The 19,118-nt window shown below is 63.1% G+C and overlaps 1 protein-coding gene across 2 annotated transcripts in view, besides 3 other annotated features; it reads left to right on the plus strand.

Moving 5' to 3' along the window:
- Positions 1 to 19,118, plus strand: part of KIF26A (kinesin family member 26A) — a 42,308-nt gene that overhangs the window by 10,580 nt on the left and 12,610 nt on the right. The window contains exons 3-5 of one of the 2 annotated variants that reach the window (NM_015656.2): positions 2,849 to 3,295; positions 8,589 to 8,776; positions 17,693 to 17,882. In NM_015656.2, the coding sequence (NP_056471.1) occupies positions 2,849 to 3,295; positions 8,589 to 8,776; positions 17,693 to 17,882 (825 nt within the window). Of the gene's footprint in view, positions 1 to 2,848; positions 3,296 to 8,588; positions 8,777 to 17,692; positions 17,883 to 19,118 lie in introns of those variants that run through there. The other variant, XM_011536641.3, reaches the window with a different exon arrangement.
- Positions 2,056 to 2,569: an enhancer, noted in NCBI's record as "H3K4me1 hESC enhancer chr14:104617559-104618072 (GRCh37/hg19 assembly coordinates)". NCBI's record gives its function as "activates a minimal SCP1, AML or CMV promoter by ChIP-STARR-seq in naive H9 embryonic stem cells {active_cell/tissue: H9 hESC(naive)}" and the evidence as "EXISTENCE:reporter gene assay evidence [ECO:0000049][PMID:30033119]".
- Positions 5,115 to 5,615: an enhancer, noted in NCBI's record as "H3K4me1 hESC enhancer chr14:104620618-104621118 (GRCh37/hg19 assembly coordinates)". NCBI's record gives its function as "activates a minimal SCP1, AML or CMV promoter by ChIP-STARR-seq in naive H9 embryonic stem cells {active_cell/tissue: H9 hESC(naive)}" and the evidence as "EXISTENCE:reporter gene assay evidence [ECO:0000049][PMID:30033119]".
- Positions 5,616 to 6,116: an enhancer, noted in NCBI's record as "H3K4me1 hESC enhancer chr14:104621119-104621619 (GRCh37/hg19 assembly coordinates)". NCBI's record gives its function as "activates a minimal SCP1, AML or CMV promoter by ChIP-STARR-seq in naive and primed H9 embryonic stem cells {active_cell/tissue: H9 hESC(naive and primed)}" and the evidence as "EXISTENCE:reporter gene assay evidence [ECO:0000049][PMID:30033119]".

Raw genomic sequence — 19,118 nt, forward strand, 5'->3', positions numbered from 1 at the left:
GTGACTAGGGTTGGAGAGATGGCCCCTGCCCTGTGCCTTGAATTCCTGGGGCCTTGGGTGGGCCTCTCAGTGCCCCCCATGGAGCCTGCTGGGTCGGGGTTGGGTGGTGAGAGTCCCTGAGAGGAGGGCCTCGTGGCCCGTCCTGGGGAGGGGTGCGTGGCCCACTCGTGGGCTTTCGCTGTGGGGCCCGGCCTCCAGGATGCTGGCTGGCACCTGGGCTGCTGGGGGAAGGTACCCTGGCCCAGATGCCTGGGCCGCCGCTGTTGCTGAGCAGGTGACCAGCAGCCTCGGCTTGTCCCCAGTGGGGGCTTCAGCTTGATGGGCCCCCCTCCAGCACTGGCCCCCAACACCTGGGACTTGGATGCCCGGAGCTCCGAGGCCTGGATAGGGCTGGGGCCTCCCTGGCAGCTGCTGTCTGAATTCCTGATGGCAAAGCTGGGTGGGGGCTTGGGTGGGGGCCACTTTGGCTTCCTGTCCCCTTTTCCCTGTTGCCCCTCTGCCTGGCCAGCCCGTGGTGGGTGGTGCATTCTCAGGTCGATCCGGGCTTCCTCCCTCCCCTGCCCTCCACTCTCCTTCCTGCCTCCTGCTGTGCAGCCCTGGAGAGAAGGGCAGGGTGGGCTTCCCAAGGCCTGAGGTCGCTGGACGGGCAGAGGCTGCCTGGCCTGTCTGGAGGCTCCAGAACGGCGAGCTGGGGGCCGGGCTGCCTGTCAGGTTGGGTTAATAGCTCCAGCAGGCGGGGACTTCCTTCCCCTTCACACGGGGCCACCAGGGCAGCCTCCTGCTGAGTGGAAAATCAGCATAATCTGAGCCTGACTGGAAAACAGGCCCTGTCTGCCCTCAGCCTGTGCAGGGGCCAGTTCTGGGTTCTACATGTAGACCTGTGTGCCCACTGGCCGCATCAGCAGAGCTAAGCGGGGCTCCTGCAGTGTCTGCTCTGGTAGGGCCCTCCCCCTCCTGGTCCCCCTCCCCGTCCCCCTCCCCCTCCTCCTCCTCCCCCTTCCCCTTCTCCTCCTTCCCCTCCTCATCCCCCTCCCCCACCCCCTCCTCCTCCTCCTCCTCCCCCTCCTCCTTCTCTGCAGGGCTCCTTGTGGCTGACCTCAGCGAATCTCCGAAGCAGCAGGAGGGAGGGGCATTGGCTAATCGGGACCAGACGCGCCAGGCACTTCAGAGGCTCTGCAGGCCCTGGGTTGGAGGAAATCCAGGCCTCTGGAGTGGCCCATAAATCAGGCAGCTGGGCCTGATGGGGGTCGCCTTTTCATGCGACCTGCCTGGGACTGTGGGGAGTGTGAGGTGGTCCTGGGGGAACATGATTGCCGCACATGCTTGGCTGGCACCGGCCACCCTGGACCACAGCTGTTACCACTGTGAGCCTCCAGGGCATCTGTGGACAAGGGCCCAGCCAGCCAAGGGCAGGCTCAAGGAATGTGGGTGGGGTGACTAAGACACCCCCTCCCCGGGATAATGGGCCTCAGCTTCCTCATCTGAGAAATGGGCACGTTTGAGAAGGCTGCAGTGCCTTTTGTGGCCAACAGGGTGGCTGCATTGGAGTCCGGTCTTGCCTGGAATCCCTTGAGGCAACATGGCCAGCCATCGAGCCAGGGACTGCCTGGGGCCAGGTTTCGGGTGGTGGGAAAGTTGGGGGCTGGTGGAGGACCCCTGTCGGGTGGTGTTCGGAAAGCCCTAGGTGGTCACAGCCACAGCAGCGCTGGGCTGGTGCTGTCCTGGGGGTTGCCCGGGCTGGGTGCCCTATAGCTGAGACACCCCTTGGGGAGGGGGTGCAGACGCAGAGGGCCTGGCCCCCTCCCCAGAGAGCAGGACAGACACTGGTCCTGACTCTGGCCCTGACTGTTGCAGAGTGGTCCCAAGGAGGGGCAAGGCCAGAGCCTGGTGGGGTGGTGAGGGACACGGGTGGGCCCCAGAGAGGAGTAAGCCTCTTGGTCGATTCCCTCCCAGTGAGCTTTGCTCTGTGGCTTGTCTCCTTCTTGCTCCTCCTCCTCTTCCTGGAAGATGTCACTGCCTCCAGGAAGCCTTCCCTGACTCTGAGGCTGGGTGAGGCGCATCCTCCTCTGGGTTCTTCTGGCTCTTGTTTTTAGCCGTTTCTAGAACCCAGTCTCAGGGTTCTAGAGAAACCTGTGTGTCCCCCCAGTTCAGGGAAGGGGGCAGTCACCAAACAGGGTGCATCCCAGCGTACAGCTCAGACCTGGGTGGGGGAGCTGGTGGAGTGTGCGGCGGGGGGTGGGGCCCTGGGCTGTACCCGATCCTGCGGCTCTTGCGCCCCTTCGGTGAGCTCATGTGCCCTCTAGGAGCGTCTCCGAGGGAGGCCTTCGCTTCTGTTGACACCTTTACAGCAGCACTGATTTGATTTTCCACCTGCCCCACCGGGGCTGGAGACCTGAAGAGGAAGGGAGAGGGTCTCCTGCCCCTGGCTCTGCCTTGAGTGAGTGTGGGTGAGGGAGGCCCTCGTGGCTCTGAAGAGACGTTGCTTTTAAGGGGCCCTGCTTCTTGCCAGTCTCCTGCGTGTCCCCGGCCAGGCGGCCTTAGCTGACAGTGGTCCGGTTGTCCGGGAGCCGCAAACCTGCCTTGTTAGCCGCAGGCCGGGGCGCTTAATGACGGCTGGGGAAGGTGGACAGTTAACAAGGACATTGTGAGCCTCACGATGAAGCCCGATCATTATTTTCCTGCTGGGCTTGTGTGGGTGAAAGTGTTTGGGCTTATTAATCTGTTACGGATGGTGCGGTGGCCAGGCGGGAGCTCGCAGCGTCATGGACGGTGAGAGTGCTGGTGGGCTCTGGGTGCCGGCCCTCCCTCCCCAGGCACTGACCCTGCCTTTGTCCCTTGCTGTCCTCAGGATCCTTGCCTCTCTGCCCTGCTTCTCGACAAGCTACCAGCACCTGGGGCCCTGCCAGCCTGTCGCCCAGAGGCCGAGCGCCGCTGTGACGTCTGCGCCACACACCTGCAGCAGCTCACACGGGAGGCCATGCACCTGCTGCAGGCCCCTGCCAGCCATGAGGACCTTGACGCCCCCCATGGAGGCCCCAGCCTCGCACCCCCCAGCACCACGACCAGCTCGAGGGACACGCCAGGACCAGCGGGTCCTGCAGGGAGGCAGCCAGGACGAGCTGGGCCAGACAGGACCAAGGGGCTGGCCTGGTCCCCCGGGCCCAGTGTCCAGGTGTCTGTAGCACCTGCGGGTCTTGGAGGGGCGCTGAGCACGGTCACCATCCAGGCCCAGCAGTGCCTGGAGGGCATGTGGAGTGTCTCGCGGGTCAACAGCTTCCTCCCGCCGGCGTGCCTGGTGAGTGTCTTGCTCAGCGGATGGGAGCTGCTGGCCTCCTTGTCAGAACTGGGCTTCCTTCGGGGGTCTCTGTCCACGTTGAGTGCCCTGCAGTAAGGCTTCCCTGAAGGGAGGGGACGGCGGGCATGGGGGTTCCTGACACTCCTGAGGCCCCACATCAGATGCACCCTTGATGGTGCACAGCAGCTGTTCTCAGGTCCCTGCCTGACTCAGGGAATACCTTCTCTGGGAGCACGTGCCCCTCCCTGTCTGTCTTTTGAGACTGGGGCTGAGGGCCCACCAGTGCCCAGCACAGGGCTTGGCGATGCACAGGGCACCGTGTGTAGATCGGGGCTCACGAGGCAGATGGAGTAGGAGGGCCCTTGTGGCAGAGCGAGGGCCTGTGTGGAGGCCTGGGGGTGTGAGGCGTCCATGGACGTCGGGCGGGGGACCGGCAGTTGCAATTGCTGGAGATGCGTTGCCTGCCCCTGTGGCACCCTGGGGGCAGAGGGACATGTGGGTGGCTGTGAAGAGCCGTGTTTCTGCCTGGTACACTGTCTAGTCACCACACAGCGACCAGCACAAGCTCGCCCTTCTCCCTTGGTCTCCAGGCCTGGTGGTGTTTCCAGGGGCAGACAGAGGTGCAGAGACCCCGTAGTCTCTGGGGCAACATTGGCCACTGATCCTAAGGCCAGGCAGACCCTGCCCTTGCCTTCTGGGCTTTCGGCCTCCCTGTGACTGGTGAGGTGGCCTGTCTGGACATCAAGATCCTGCCCCAGCTGGGGGCTGGCCTTGGCACTAGCTGCCCTGGCAGTGGCTGCTGGGCTGGTCCTTCTGAGGCTGCTGGGCTGCCCTAGGGGTCGAGGTACGCCGAGGCTCACTGGAGGAACTTCTGGACACCCCCCGGGTCCCAGCTGGTGTGATGGTTCCCCTGTGGCCTTGGCACCTACACCCTTCCACCTGTGAACTCTGTGGTGAGGCCGAGGAGAGGGAGCCCCACCCTTGCCACGAGGTGCCTCCTGGCCCCAGAGCTGAACCCCACCCTTGCCATGAGGTGCCTCCTGGCCCCAGAGCCGAACCCCACCCTTGCCATGAGGTGCCTCCTGGCCCCAGAGCCGAACCCCACCCTTGCCACGAGGTGCCTCCTGGCCCCAGAGCCGAACCCCACCCTTGCCATGAGGTGCCTCCTGGCCCCAGAGCTGGGCATCCTGGGAGGGGTGGGCGGGGATGGTGCTGGGGGCTGCAGCAGGTGAGCTGGGCAGCATCCTGGAGGAGGTCTCATTGAGCTGGGCCTGTGTGGAAGCATCAGGGGCTGGGCCTGAAACCCAGGATGGTGGGCACAGGCACCTCCGTCTCCTGCTGTCTCCCTGGGCCACTTGGCCTCACTGCACCCTGCCCGTGGCTGAGGGTCCCAGCGGGTGGGGGTGGAGAAGATCGCAGGCCCCTTGCTGGGCAGCCCTGCTGGTGGATGGCACACCATGAACATTTAGGCACCCTCTCCCAGCGTTATGTGCACATTGATCGTGGCCAGGGTGGGTGGGAATGGATTTATAATTAGACAGCAGTCCGGGCGATCGATAGGGAGATTATTAGAACCATAAATAGAACTTTAGGATTCAGATGAGGTAATTTCCCCTGAACCAGGGCATCGATCATTAGCGTGGCCCTGGAATGTTAATGGTGCCTGTTAGACTCTAGAGTTAAATACTTGTGGAGAGATGCGCTGCAAATCTCCACCACAGACCGTCAACCACCCCTGGGTCGAATGAGATTGTTCCAAGGCAAACACTGATCTGGGGCCAGCGGGTGGGACGGGGGTGCTGCAGCCCCCTCTGTTACACGATGTGGAGAGGAGGGGCAGGGACCAGCCATGGCACTTTGGCCTCGGCCGAGGCTTGGCAGGGGATGCTGAACGTTACTGGGTCTGGCCAGAAGGCTGGTCCTTGGAGGGGTGGTGGGTGGCCCAGGGCTCCCAGGGCCTCCTGCGGCCACAGGTGGGGCCTGGAACATCCCACATCTTGAGCATCCAGAGACTCCTGGGCTATGGAGCCGCCGGGCAGGGCTGTCCAGCGGTTCTTCCCGGACTGTTGGGCCGGGGCAGCGCTGCCGTTGCAGAGGGCAGAAGCTGCCCACGGAGCCTGGCCCTGTGCCTGTGCCCCACGCCTCCTGCCCTGAGAGCTCTGGACAGTGGTCATGGGGCCCACCCCAGTGCCCTGCCTGCACCACCAGAGGCTGCCATGGTCTGGGACATGCTGCGAACCGTGGCCCATTTCACGCTATGAACTGAGCTGCGAGACCGAGGCTCTGGCCTTCAGAGCCCACAGTGGGTTGCAAGTGGCACCGTGGCCCTCCACAGAGGGGCGGCCCGGTGGGCAGTGTGGGGTGCTGGAGGTGTTGACGGTGGCCCTGAGGAGCGGGGGTGCCTCCATACATGGAGATTGGGTGGCACCGGCTTGGGGGCTCCTGCCACCGCTGTGCTGGGCTGCAGGGGCCCTGGAGGGTGTCCCGTGGTCCTCACGGCTGAGATGGGCCAGGCAGGGGCAGATCTTTGAACTCAGGGCTGTCCAGGCCCTAGGGCCCTTTGAGTGACGAGGCTGGAGCTTCGCGTGGGTGGGCGAGTCCGCCCCATGGGGCTCTGCAGGGTGGCGCACATCCACACCCGTGCAGGGGTGACACTGGTGACAGAGTTCGGCTCTGAGCCTCCCTGGCCGCTCCTCAGCCCCTCCTCCTCCCTTTCTCCCCCACTTCTCAGCACAAAATAGCACCCAGTGAGGTGTTTATCTGGGGGGCTGGTGTCTTTCACGGGCCAGAACCTTACAGATGCGTTTGGGCCTGGAGGGCTCCTAAGAAGAGAGTTAGCTTGGCATTTCCTAAACTGTGCTCCACGGAACCCTGGTGTTCCCCGAGGTTGCAGGTGCTCTCTGCTGGCCGCCTGGTGCCTGCTGTGGTTAGGAAGCTCCCCGTGGGGTGGGTCCCGTGCGGCTATGCTTGGGGCCCTTGGCTCTGCGCCCCTCGGCCTCACGCTCCCCTCTCTCCTGCCTTTCCTTCCGTTTGCTGCTGTGGCACCTCCATCACATGCTCTGTCTGGCCGCCCGCCCCCCCTCTCTTCTGCCCCCGTGTTGTGGTCTTCCCTCTCGCCGTCCTCCCCTGCCCCCGGCTCTCGCTTTGCCAGACGGCTTCTTTTGGCATGCCCGGGCTCTGCTTCCGGCAGGAATTGGCAGTGGCCGTCCCGGCGGATGGGGCGGTGTCCCGGCAGCGCGTGGGACGGTGGAGCCGAGGCGCGTGCCGGACTCCTGAGACAGGTCAGTGTGGGGAGGCCCAGCTGGCCGCAGGCCTGTACCGTTGCTGGGCGGGGCCGGAACCTTCTGGCCGGAGGTGGAGTGGCTGGCCTGAGATGGGGGAGGGCTCGGGCCCTGTGGGAAGAGGGTGGAGGGGCCGGGTGGGCTGTGGTGTAGCAGCTCTGTCCCTGCTGCAGCCCCTCCAGCCTCGGTGCCCCTGTCCAGTGGGGGAGGCAGGGTGTCCTGGTGCCTCACTGGACACTGTGATTGGGCCTGGCCCAGGATGCCAAATGTGGCCCCACGGTGGTGCCATCGCGACGAGCCACCTGTGGGTGCCACGCTGGCTGTGGGTGGTGCGGCCCCGGCCCCCAGGAGAACTGGCCCTGGGTGCTGACTGCCATGCCCAGGGGTGCTCAACCAGACCCGGCTCTGCTCCAGGGGCTCAGGACCTGCTGTTAATGTTGTAACTTTAAAGATCACTCTTTCCTGTCTGCTCAGCAAAGGAGTTTAGGCTTTTGATAGGGAGCACATACATTAAGTGATAAAATAGAATTCACACTTGAGGTGAGGGAGTGGCTGGGAGAAGGAGAGGGCTGGCCGGGCTGGGTTCAGAGGGATGTACAGGAGTTCCTGGCCTGCAGGCTGCTGGTGGGGTGTGGTGTGCTGGCGCAATGTCCAGTGAGCTGTTCCAGGTCCCAGGTTCGCCCTTTTCTGCTACTGGGCATTCCTTCTGGAAGCCCCGGAGGAGTGGCTGGTGCCTAGGGCCCAGGGGGCACCCAGCTTCCATCCAGCCTAAGTCTTGGGGCTCCCTGTGAACTTCCTTTCGCAGACATGGTTCTGTTCCAGGTCCCGGGAGGGGCCTGGAAGCTGGTACCGGCCATGGGTTGGGCAGGGTGAGCCGGCCATGGGTTGGGCAGGGTGAGCCCTCCATGGTGGTGAGGAGGGATACTGTCTGGGATGGCAGGGCCTCTGTCTGGAGTGTCCCTCCTGGGTCCCGGGGCGGCTTGTTCTGCTGACGTGCCGTGCCTGGCCTCTGGCCTGTGCCACTTGGGACACCCTGAGGACGCTGGGCCTTCCAGACCAGCCCACGTCCCCTCAGCACGGGGACCCCAGTCCTCTGCTAGCCTGGGTACAAAGGACGCCTCGGGCAGTGGTTATCGACTGGACACTTGGGGCCGAATGACGCTTGGCACCTGGGTGACCGTGACCTGACCAGGCCACGGTGCCCAAGGGGGTCCTTGGAGAGCTTGGGGCACTGGGCCCTTGGGGAAGGGGCCGGGGCGAGGGGTGGCCAGGCTGAAGCAGGCTGCCTTCCCTGCCTTGCCTGGGGTTGCATCCCCCCACGCCGCCCAGGACCAGGTTTGGCCTGAGGGTTCGGGGTCCCACGTGTCTGGGAATGGAACGTGCGGAGGTGGAGCTCACGTTTGCTGGGCTGTCCCGGGCGTTTAATTACGTTTGTGCTTCATTATGAGGAGGCCTCCCTTTCTGGGATTTATTTGAGCTAATGAGTTGGAAATGCCAGGGTAGTATTTCAGATGAGGGAGCGCCACACATCACCGTACGTGGGGCAATTAGTGTTCCTGCCAAATAGTTATCGTGGTTTCTTCTCTAATTACGCCGCTGGGTGCTCCCAGGAGGCTCAGGGGTGAGAGGGTGGGGGGTCTGTGTCCATCGGTCTTGACCAGTGTGGTCGCTGCGATTCTGGAGTTTGATGGGGGAGAGGCGGAAAGTCTGGCTTCTGGACCACCATCTGCCTCCCTCTCTGCCTCCAAGGAGTCCTGCTGGGGCAGACCGCCCACACACCCCGAGCTGGGAACGTGACCTCACGGCCCAGGCAGGCCTTCCCCACTGGCCTCTCTGCCAGCCCTGATTTCTGGGGCCTTCCCGGCTTCACAGGCTGGGCCCTGGGGGTGCAGAGCCCCCAGGAATGTGCTGGGCTCTGGGGTGCCCAGGCCTGTCTCTCCCACTCCGGGTGCCAGGGGGCAGTGGTGTCTCTGCCCTTGCGTTCCTTATACGCACTCTCTCCTTCCCTCCAGGCCGAGGCAGCGGTGGCGGCCGTGGCGGTGGCAGACACGGTCCGAGAATGCCCCCCCGTGGCCGGCCCTGATGGCTTGTCGAAGGCCTGGGGCCGTGGTGGAGTCTGCACGTCAGCCCTGGTCACCCCCACCCCGGGCTCGGTGGGGGGCTCCACAGGCCCCTCAGCTGCAGCCTCCTTCTTCATAAGGTATGTCCTGGGGCTTCCTGGGCAGCCTTGTGGGCAGGGCCCCATGGCCCCGGCTGTGGGCCCCTGGGGACCTATGGGCCGTTCTTGGGGGACCTCGGGCATGCTTGCTGCTGAGACGAGTGGATGGGGAGCTGCTCCGACCACAGCTGCTGAGCCGCTCACAGCCTGCCGGCCTCTCGGGCCCCATGCCCGATGTTGGGGGGCATCTCATCCTCGGGGGAGCACTGCCAAGGAGGGGCTCTGTGGCCAGGACCCTGCCTGAGTTGGAGCCTGGTCCCTGCCTCTTCTGAGCTGTGCAATCTTGGGCAAATCAACTAACCTCTCTGTGCCTCAGTTTCCTCCCGTCAGCTGGGCTCTTCCTCATAGGAGTCGCTGTGACTGCAGCAAGAAAATGTCTGTGAAGCCTGGAGAATGTGGCCCGGAGTGGGGCAGCTCAGCTGTGGACATTGGGGGCTGCCCGGGGGAGGCGCAGGCTGGGGCCACGGAGAGGACAAGGCTGGCCTTCAGGCAGCACAAGGGGAGGGGCAGCAGGGCTTGAGCGGGTGCCCACGGTGCCAGCCGGGCTTGTGGTTGGCAGGTCCAGCTCCACCAGGAGCATCCCACATTGGGGGACCATGTCTGACATCACTTGGTTGCTTTCCCAGGCCCCGAGCTCGGGGTGCCTGGTTTCTCTGCTCTCCCCCCTGCTGATCCCCACCACTGCCAGAATGCCAGGCCTGAGGCCCTGCAGGCACCAGGTCCTTGCCGACTGGTGGTGTGGATGGGGTGGGCCAGGCAGAGGGAACAGGAGAGCAGAGGTGGGGAGGGGGAGTTGGCATGGAGGGGCGTGGTGTGGGAGCCTCCACTGGGCCCTTCCCGGCAGGGCCTTTGGTCCTGGGACCCGTGGCAGAGCCTCCTCTCATCCTGATGGTGTAAGGATGCGGATTACAGGATGTAATTGCCATAATGCCTGGTAATGGCAGGCCCAGCCGCGGGTCAGTGTCCCATTAGCAGCCCCACGCGGGTGCTGATAAGCTTGAACATGCATCACACCCAGCGGCCAGAGACGAGGGCGTCTTATCAGCGCCGGCCCTGGGGACCGTGTGGTCTGATTGCAGAGTGACGGGGCATATGATTAGGGCATTGTCGCACGCCGTGTGCCGGGCTGAGGGCTGATGAGCACACCATCGCGTTGGAGCACAGCCAGACCGCGCACGTGACCAGTGTGGCCTCAGCGCCACCCCAATTAGGTGCCGAGAGCACGGCTGGCTGGGACCCTGGTGGGAGCAGATGGGGGTCTTGCCCATCCTGCTCTGGGGTCCCCCGTGTGTGGGACAGCCCACCCCGTCACAACCGGCCTAGTCCTGAATTAAAGGGCCTGTGCGGCTGTTCTGGGCACAGCCCTGTGGCCGTGCTCCTTTGGGTCCTGTTTGGCAGGAGGATTTGAAACGTGGAGACTTCCAGAAAAGAAAGAATAGCTCCAGTGCTCAGAGCTCCCCCGGTCCCTGATGCTAAGCCCCCTGGTGCCAAGGAGGGTTCCTGACACTGGGAAGTAAGGGTAGGGTGTCGGCCCCCAGGCCGGTGCGTTGGTGACCTGGAGCCCAGCAGAGCGGCCCTGGCTGCCTTTTGTTTGGGAGCCGAGGCCGGTGCCGCTTGCCAGCCGCGCTGCCTGCTGACCTTGGGAAGTTACCATAGAAACCAGCGCATCGGGCTGGGGACCCAGAGGCGGTTCTCCCAAGGCGGGGGCGCTGCCGGCTGCCATTACTTCCAGCCTGTTAGGCACCCTGGGTCTCAGCGGCTTCTGCGAGGCCACTGCAGGTGGCAGGTCGTGGTTCAGGTTGTGGCGGGGGACATCCTGGCAGGTGGGCCCTGTCGGTGGATGCCTGACGTGGGCTGGGGTCGGTGGTGGGTGACCTCCTCTGTGGGGCTGCAGTACCCTGAACCCTCAGGGGTGAGATCAGAGGGGGTGTCCACTCCTGGGTTTTGTGGGTGTGGGGCTGTGGCTCTGAGTGGGGACGAGTCCACCAGGAGACAGTGGAGCTTCAGCCCCCGCCCCAGGGGTCTTGGGCACGTGCTGAGGGTACCTTCTGTGCTCCCACCTCCACCCTCGAAGAGGACCTGGGAGGGAGTGGCACTGACCCCAGCCCCTGCTCTGCCCTTGGGAAGTTTCCAGTCTGGAGGGACCGAGGGGCACCTCTGTGGAGGCAGCCTTAGATGGCAGCACGGGACCCGTGTAGCAGTCAGGGCAGAGTGGCCTCTCAGGGAGCGGGCTTTGAGGGTTGAGTAGGAGTCTGGCAGGCAGCATTGCCAAGTGGAGACGGAATGGGGTGGAGGTCAGGAGTTTGAGTTTTTGAATCCCGTGGGCCTGGGGAGTCTCAGCTCTGCTGCTGCCCACAAGCACCCCCCAGCCGGATTAGGGCACCAGCCTCAGGCTGCCCCCTGATCCTTTCAGTGGCCTCTGGGCTCCTTATGTCCACACAGGGAAGCTGGGATGTGGAGTGATCCCATGGGTGCCCGGGTACCCGAGTTTCGTTAATGCTAACAGGGGCATAGATAGAGCAGGGGCTGAGCCCCATGCCCTCACCCCCTGGGTGGGGCCTGGGGAAGCTGCAGGGATTGAGGCAGCGCAGCTGTGACAGAGCTTGGCATGCTGGCCCAGCAAGTGTTCGGGAGGGTGGGGCGCGTGGGCCGGGTGGCCCCGGGGTTAGGAGTTCTCCGAAGGCTCTGGTGACCCCCAGGGTTAGGAGTTCCCTGAAGGTTCTGGCAACTCTGATGACGCTGTCTGAGGCCCCGCTGGTTTGTGCCGGCGCTGGGAGCCTCTGCAGTGCCTCCTCTGAGGTACTTCCGTCATCATACTCTCACCTGCTCGCTGCCATGCTGGTATGGGGGTCCCCTCCAAGACCCCAAATCAAATGTCTTTGAGAAAACTGCTAAGGGAGGTTGCTTCCATTGGGTGGGGAGCACCTCATGGCACTTGCAGGTACCCAGGCCCCCCACTCCCCACCCCACTGTGGCCTCAGCAGAGCCCCCGTGTCAGCCTGGATGCCCAGGCCCATGGACGGTCAGGCTGGCACCCAGCAGAAGTGCAGCGCCTGCGGGGAGAGTGCGCTGCCCGAGGCTTAGCTGGGGACCCACATGGAAGGCACTGTCTGGAGAGGTGTCCCCACCTGTCTTCTGGCCTGTGGGTGAAAATCCAGGACACAGGAAGTGTGGACCACAGCAGGGCTGGGAGTTGGAGGGGCTGATGCCTCAGTCTCCAGCTGCCTCCAGCTGGGGTCCAGGGTCCCCTTCGCAGGTCTGCAGGACCCAGCTGGGGTCCCCCGATGCCTGCCCTGGTTCCTTGGTGGGGCAGGTCCGGCAGGTGGCAGGTGCCCCTGGGGTGAGGTGGGGGTAGGGAGGGTGGGGCTCCGTCCACCAGCCTCGCACGGCCCAGTGTGGAAGCTCTGGGTTGGCCATAAGTGATTCCTGCACGCGACAGAACAGGCTCGTGTGTCTCCTTGGGGTAATTAAGGGCCTCACCATCAAGGCCAACTGCCTGTGAAATTACCCTCTTGTTTGGAAGCGGTGATTTTTCTCTGTAAAAAGGAAAATATTTCCTTTTCTGTTGACATGAATCGATGGCCAGGGCCAATGAGCCCAGGCAAGGCTGTGGGATTGCAGCAAGACACCTGGTGGCTCTGGGGGCCGTTCAGGTGCCCGCTGTCTCGTTCATCCTCGCTCACGCGTGTTCTGAGCTTCTTCTGTGAGCATCTGCCCCCAGACCCCCTGCTGGCAGGGACATAGCTGTGTAAACTGGTGTCTCACGGCAGGGGGTAGTTGCTATAGAAGCAGGAGGCGCAGGGGCTGGGGACACCCATCTCAGGGCATCAGGGCAGGCTTCCTGGAGGAGGTGTCCTGTGAGGATGGGGGCTGTTTATGCAGGTGAAGTTCCTGCTTTTCTGAGTCTTCCCTTCAGAGTCAAACCCCTCAGACTTGCCCACTGAGGGCCGCCGCTCCCTGGCAGTGTTGGGTGTGGGCAGTGTCTGCTGTGGCCTGGGGGAGACAAACCCCACTGCTCAGAAAGTAAGTTCCTGCCTCCACAGGGCCGTGGGCCCTCAAGGGCTGTTGAACCCAAGCGTGGTAGCCAGATGGGGGCTGCTGTGTCTGATGGTCGTTTCCATGGGGGCCTGAATTTCATCAAAGGAGAAAGTGCTCGTTCTGGGGCCTCGTTAATGCAGTGGCAGGTCTTTGAGTCATACCAGTGAGGTAAGCCCGTAAAAGCAGGCACCGGGAGGGCCCAGCAGGCTGGGGTGCAGCCTGTTGGCGATGGGCCCCAGGAGGAGGAGGCGCCTCAAGTTAGGTCAGATTGTGGGGTGGAGATGTGGGGCGAACAACCTTCCAGACTTCCAGGGCTGATGGAACCACAGAGGACGCCCGGTCCCAGCCTCTGTCTAGGCGGCCTGGGCCCTGGGTGTGCCCGCTGTGGCCCAGGCATACCTGAGATCTGTGCTGCGGACGCTGCTCCTGGGAGGGTCACTGGAGGGGCAGAGCCCTTGTGTGGCCGACGGGGCAAAGGGCCAGCCTGGTTTTGGCCTCTGCAGACCTAAGGCTCCAGCCTCAATCTCCCTCTGGCCTCTCCAAGTGCTGCTCCAGTCTCCAGTGCTTGCCCGGCCTCCGCGTCCCCTGGAAGCTTGGGGGTGTGGGTGCCGATGCCCTATTGCCCACAGCCTTGGGTTGCAGCTGGTACCTTGACCCTGCCCAGCCTTGGGAGGGGCTGCAGGGGAGGGTGGAGGAGCTGGCTCTGGGTGGGCGTGACCTCTCCCCATCCACTTGAGGCCGAGCCAACACCCTCCAGTGAGGGCTGGTGCTGGGCGTCCCCCACATCCATTTCCAGAGGAGGAAAGGGGTCCAGGGAGGCTCCCTGTCCCTTATAGGGGCCACCGTGGGGACCGTCCTCAGCCCTGCCTGTCCAGGTAGGGTGGGGGGCTTCCCACCTGCACCTGCAGGGCCCTGCCCTTCCCCCCGCCCCGCCCCAAGAAACCTGGGGTCCCAGCCTTGGAGCAGCACCAGGCAGCAGGGTGGGGTAGCCCTGTCCCAGTCCTGCCTGCTAGATGCGGATGTTTTCCAAAGCGGGGCCGCAGCTTCTTCCCTTGCAGGCAGCTGGCGGGAAGCTGAGGTGTAACCCAAGGTCGTGGGGTGGGGGGTCTGGAACAGGAGGCTGAGGCTGGGGTGGTGGGCAGGCAGGAAGAACCCCAAGAGCAGACACTGGTGAAATCCAAGCCTCCTCCCACCTGTGCCCCCAAATGGGCAGATGCAGCCCTGCCTGCCTGCCTCTGGCCTCGCCCAGGCCCCTGCCCAGTCTCCCTGCCCGCTATGGGGGCTCACTTTGAGGTTTGGGTTGTGGCTCTGCCCTCTGCGCTTCCCAGCGTTCCCCTCTGCCCGGGCTTCTTGCCCTGTGGACAGACGCACAGACACACAGACAGCGTGGGCGAGTGTGTCGGCCTCCATCCTGTCCCTGATCTGCTGTGTGAGTGATCTTTGGGCGACGAGGGCACAAGGGCCTCTTCCTTGCAGGGCAGTTGTGAGGTTTACAGAGACGAGGCTTAGGCACGGTATTGGGTAAATGCTGGCGATGCTGGGTGAGGTCCAGGGGTCTCAGGCACACAGGCCCGGGCCCCACGATGCAGGTGCCATTGCCTCCCCTTGCAGGCCTCCCTGCCGCGTTGGGCCCCACCCTGTGTGGCTCAGCTACCAGAGGGTCACGAACCTGGGACCCCAGTGACCCCGGAACCCCGAGCATGCGCGGCACGGGGCGGCCATGGGCCCCGACCCCTGCTCTGACTCACACCTGCATCCTGGGGCCCAGGCCCGTGTGCCTGAGACCCCTGGACCTCACCCGGCATCGCCAGCATTTACCCAATACCGTGCCAGCTGTGGGCAAGGAACCCAAGTCCCCGAGGCGGCGGGTGGGCTTCCCACACCTGGAACTACCGGGGCTTCTCCTGGGTAGCCGTGGGTTTGGTTCCTGGGATTCTTCCTCCTGGCATCCCCCGGCTCCACGTCTTGCCTGGGTGGCTGCAGGCACCGCCCACCACTGCCCTACTAAGGACTCCACCATGTGTCATAGATTACTTTTACTTTCCACGATGACACCTCACTAGGAGGAAAGCCGTCCCTGGGGTCTCTTAAGAGACAGCTCCTATTCAAAATGAAAGAAATTAAGCAAAACGCCAGCGCTGCAGCCGCCGCAGTGGGGGCAGCGAGAGGCCGGGCCCGGCTCTGGGGTGCAGGTCCTTCCACACTGGGGTCAGTTTTAGGGAGTCAAGATAGACGTGAGAGGCCGAGGGCTGTGGGGGGGGCGTGGGGCATGTTAGGGGACAGAGGAGCCCAGGGTGGGTCGGGGGAGCGCCGGTGGTCAGCGTTCACCACACCCTTCGCCGGGTGGCATCCTGGCCTCTGGCCCGCGTGGGAGCGCCTCCTGTTGGGAGGTGGTGACACCCAGTGTGTGTGTTCGTTCACCCCTGTGGCGTCCTGGTGTCCCTGTGCTGGTGGGTCCATGATCCGGGGTAGGGGCTCTGGGTGCCTGCAGCACAAAATGTGCTGGGAGGGTGTGGGGCCCTGCAGAGGTGGGGTGGGTGGGCCACAGAGAAGCCACCCCAGGGAATGAGTAGGTGTGGCCCAGTGATGGGACCTGGGAACACATCCCCAGCAGCAGGGTTAGCACAGCCAGGGCTCAGAGGCGCGGCGGGCCTGTACTCTGTGTGTGTGCCTGTCTGCGTGTGTATGTGTGTGCTCTGTGTGTGTATGTGTGTGAGTGTGTGTGCGTGTCTGTGTGTGTGCGCGTGTCTGTGTGTGTGCGCGTGTCTGTGTGTGCATCTCTGTGTGTGTGTCTGCATTTCTCTTTCTCTGTGTATCCTTGTCTCTGTGTGAGTGTCTGAGTATGTGTGTGTGTCTCTGAGTGTCTGTGTGCCTGTGTCTCTCTGTATATGTGTCTCTGTGTCTTTATGTGTCTGTCTCTGTGTGTGTCTCTATGTCTCTCCGTGTTTCTGTATGCATATGTGTCTCTATGTGTGCGTCTCTGTGTGTGTTTCTGTATGCGTGCACGTGTCTCTGGGTGTGCCTCTGTGTGTGTCTGTATGTGTATGTGTGTCTGTGTGTCTCTGTGTTTCTGTATGCATGTGTGTGTTTCTATGTGTGTGTGTCTCTGTGTGTGTGTCTCTGCATGTATATGTCTCTGTGTGTTTCTGTATGCATGTGTGTATCTCTATGCATGTGTCTGTGTTTCTGTATGCATGTGTGTGTCTGTGTCTCTGCATGTGTTTCTGTGTGCATGTGTGTCTCTGTCTCCATATGCATGTGTGTGTCTGTATCTCTATGCATGTGTGTGTCTCTGTATGCATGTGTGTCTGTGTGTCTCTATGCATGTGTGCGTCTGTGTGTCTGTATCATGTGTGCGTCTGTGTGTCCCTGTGTGCATGTGTCTCTGTGTCTGTATGCATATGTGTTCTGTGTGTCTCTGTATGCGTGTGTGTCTGTCTCTGTGTGTGTTTCTGTATGCGTGTGTGTGTGGGCCTCTGTGTATGTTTCCATGTGCATGTGTGTCTGTGTGTCTCTGTATGCATGTGTGTATCTTTGTGTCTATGCGTGTGTGTGTGTCTGTGTGTTTCTGTATGCATGTGTGTGTCTGTGTGTCTATGCATGTGTGTGTCTCTGTCTCTGTATGCATGTGTGTGTCTGTGTTTCTGTATGCATGTGTGTGTATCTGTGTTTCTGTATGCATATGTGTGACTGTGTGTCTCTGTCTCTGTGCATATGTGTGTCTGTGTGTTTCTGTATGCATATGTGTGTCTGTGTTTCTGTATGCATGTGTGTGACTGTGTCTCTGTGTCTCTGTGTGCATATGTGTGTCTGTGTGTTTCTGTGTGCATGTGTGTGTTTCTGTGTGTGTCTGTGTGTGTCTCTGTAGGGTGTGCGTGTCGAGGTCCCCTGGGAGTCCACCCCAGTGGCTCCCAAGCATGCACTGGCCTCCCCTGGAGGGTGTGTTAAACCCAAGCGTCAGCCTCTCCCCTGGAGGTCCTGTGGTCCGGGGGCTTTGGGAGACTCTGCACCTTCTGGGAGTTCCCTGGGGGCACTGTGGGTGCAGGAATCCCCCACCCCTGGCGGTGCTGGGGCAAGGCTGAGCCTCAGGGTGGGCTTTGGGGTGGGGAGGCGCTCGCCCTGGCTGAGGGGCAGGGTGGCAGCGGGGGCACTTCCCAGCAGCCCTGAGTGACGAGGGTGGCAGGGGCCCAGGAGCTGGGCAGTGGCTCCAGGATGGCTCTAGGGCCTTGGTGATCGGCAAGGGGCAAGGCAGCCTCACCTGGGGCCTGGGGCTTGGGGTGTGGTAATCTCGACAGCAGGATTAATTGAGCCCTTCCTGTATGTGGTCACTGTGCTGGGTGCCTTGAGTGTGTCAGTCCATTAGGGCCACACAGAGGCCTCCATTGTCACCTCATCCGACTTTGGAGATGTAGAAACTGAGGCATAGGCAGGCCAGGTGGATGTGCCCAGGTCACAGCTGTGCATGGCTGCCCACAGCCTGGGCATCGGGTGGGAGCAGCTTTCACTGTCCGACCCCCGGCAGCGGCTGCAGGTGGGGGATGAGGGCACACCCCTTGGTGGGGGGATGGCATTCAGTGCAGAGCACAGGGAGGGGCGCTCAGCCTGTGTGGGTCTGGACCCTGTCACAAGCTTGGTGTGAATGCTGGGCAGAGTCCCTGGGGCAGGGACGCCATGGAGGCCCCAGCCTGAACCGTCCACTGTAGAAATGAAGTGCAGGCCTCCCAGCCACATTTTGGACTGGGTTTCCTGGGATGGTGGCTGATGAAGTCCCAGGGTGGGATCGCCTGGTGACTCGCAGGCGGGTGACAGGAACAGCTGCTGTCACCCACCACTGATCCTGCCTCTGCCTCTCCTCCCCAGGGCTATGCAGAAGCTCAGCCTGGCCTCCAAGAGGAAGAAGCCCCACCCGCCACCGCCTCCAGCCACCCGCGGCACCTCCACCTACCCCACCGACTTCAGCGGGGTCCTGCAGCTGTGGCCGCCCCCGGCGCCCCCCTGCCTGCTCAGGGCCGCCTCCAAGACCAAGGACAACCCTGGCAGCATCGGGAAGGTAGACGCAGCCCCGAGTTCGGGGCCCTGGGTGGGGAGGCCAGAGGCGTCTGAGAAGACGCAGGAGGGGTGAGGGAGTGGAGGGGCTGCCACTTCCTTCTCTGGGTTGGATAAGGGTGGTCAGTGGGGTGCCATGGGGAGACTGAGGCCCAGGTGGCAGCAGGGAGCCTGGGAGCCTGTGCTGGGCTGGGACTGCCGGGATGGGAGGGGAGTGGCGTGTCCTAGGGGTCCCAGGGGCATGTACTAGGTTCAGCGTGGGGCGGGACAGCCAGGTCACGGGGCTCCCAGGGACTAAGGTTGGGTTTGATCCAGGGAAGCCCCTTGCGTAGGCTCCACTGAGACGCAGCCCTGAGGGGGCTGGGGGCAGGAGGGGACTCTCTGCTCTCCAGAGTCACCGTGTGCAGGCGGGCCCCTGCCATGGGAAAGCGGGATGCGTGATGGGTTGATTCTGGCGCCGCGCTCCACATGGGAAGACTGCCGCCTGTGGAGGGCACAGGGCCTCCATCAGTGATGGGACAGGCTGGCTCCTGGCTGTCCCTGGAGCTCTGAGCCTGGGGCCTGTGGCTTGCTGGTTGTGCCATCCGAGTCTCGGAGAAATACCTGCCCTGGCTGGACGTGGCCCTGCCTTGTGCTGGGAGCTGGCAGTGCCTGGTTCGTGGGCCCATTGAGTCAGGTGGGCTCTTTGTGCCCATGGAGGGTGGGAAGCCAGTCACACAGCTCTGTGTGTGCCCCCGGTGGCTTTTTCCTGCCCCTCGGCCTGCTCTGCAGCCAGCCCCCTCCCGCCCAGCACCCCGAAAGCACTGCCTGGTGCCTCCAGGCCCGGGAGGCTCTGTGCCCCACATGGGCCATCAGGCTCCGTGCCCCTCTGGACTTGGACCACGATTCCCAGGGGTTCAGCTCTCCAGGGGACAAGGTCTGGAGGGGACGCTGTGCCCACGTTGGAGACCCCCTGGCAGAAGGCCCCTGTCCCTGGGCCTGGGGGTGCCACAGGCCTCTCCCACTGCCCTAGCTGTACTGGGTCTAGGGTGCCAGGAGCACCCCTCGCAGTCCTGGTGAGAGCCTGCTTGACCTTTACAGCTCTGTAGTCCTGGAGGGGCCTCCTGGGCAGCCACACCTTGGGATTTTGTTAGAGCTCGGGAGGTGCCAGGCTCGTGGGAGGGTTTGGAACATGCTGGCTACGGGGAAGGGCTGTAAGTGACTGTGTGTCTGGCCACGCCCTCAGTGGTGCAGTTGCTGG

Source organism: Homo sapiens, chromosome 14 (genome assembly GCF_000001405.40).
Source record: "Homo sapiens chromosome 14, GRCh38.p14 Primary Assembly".
NCBI lineage: Eukaryota > Metazoa > Chordata > Mammalia > Primates > Hominidae > Homo > Homo sapiens.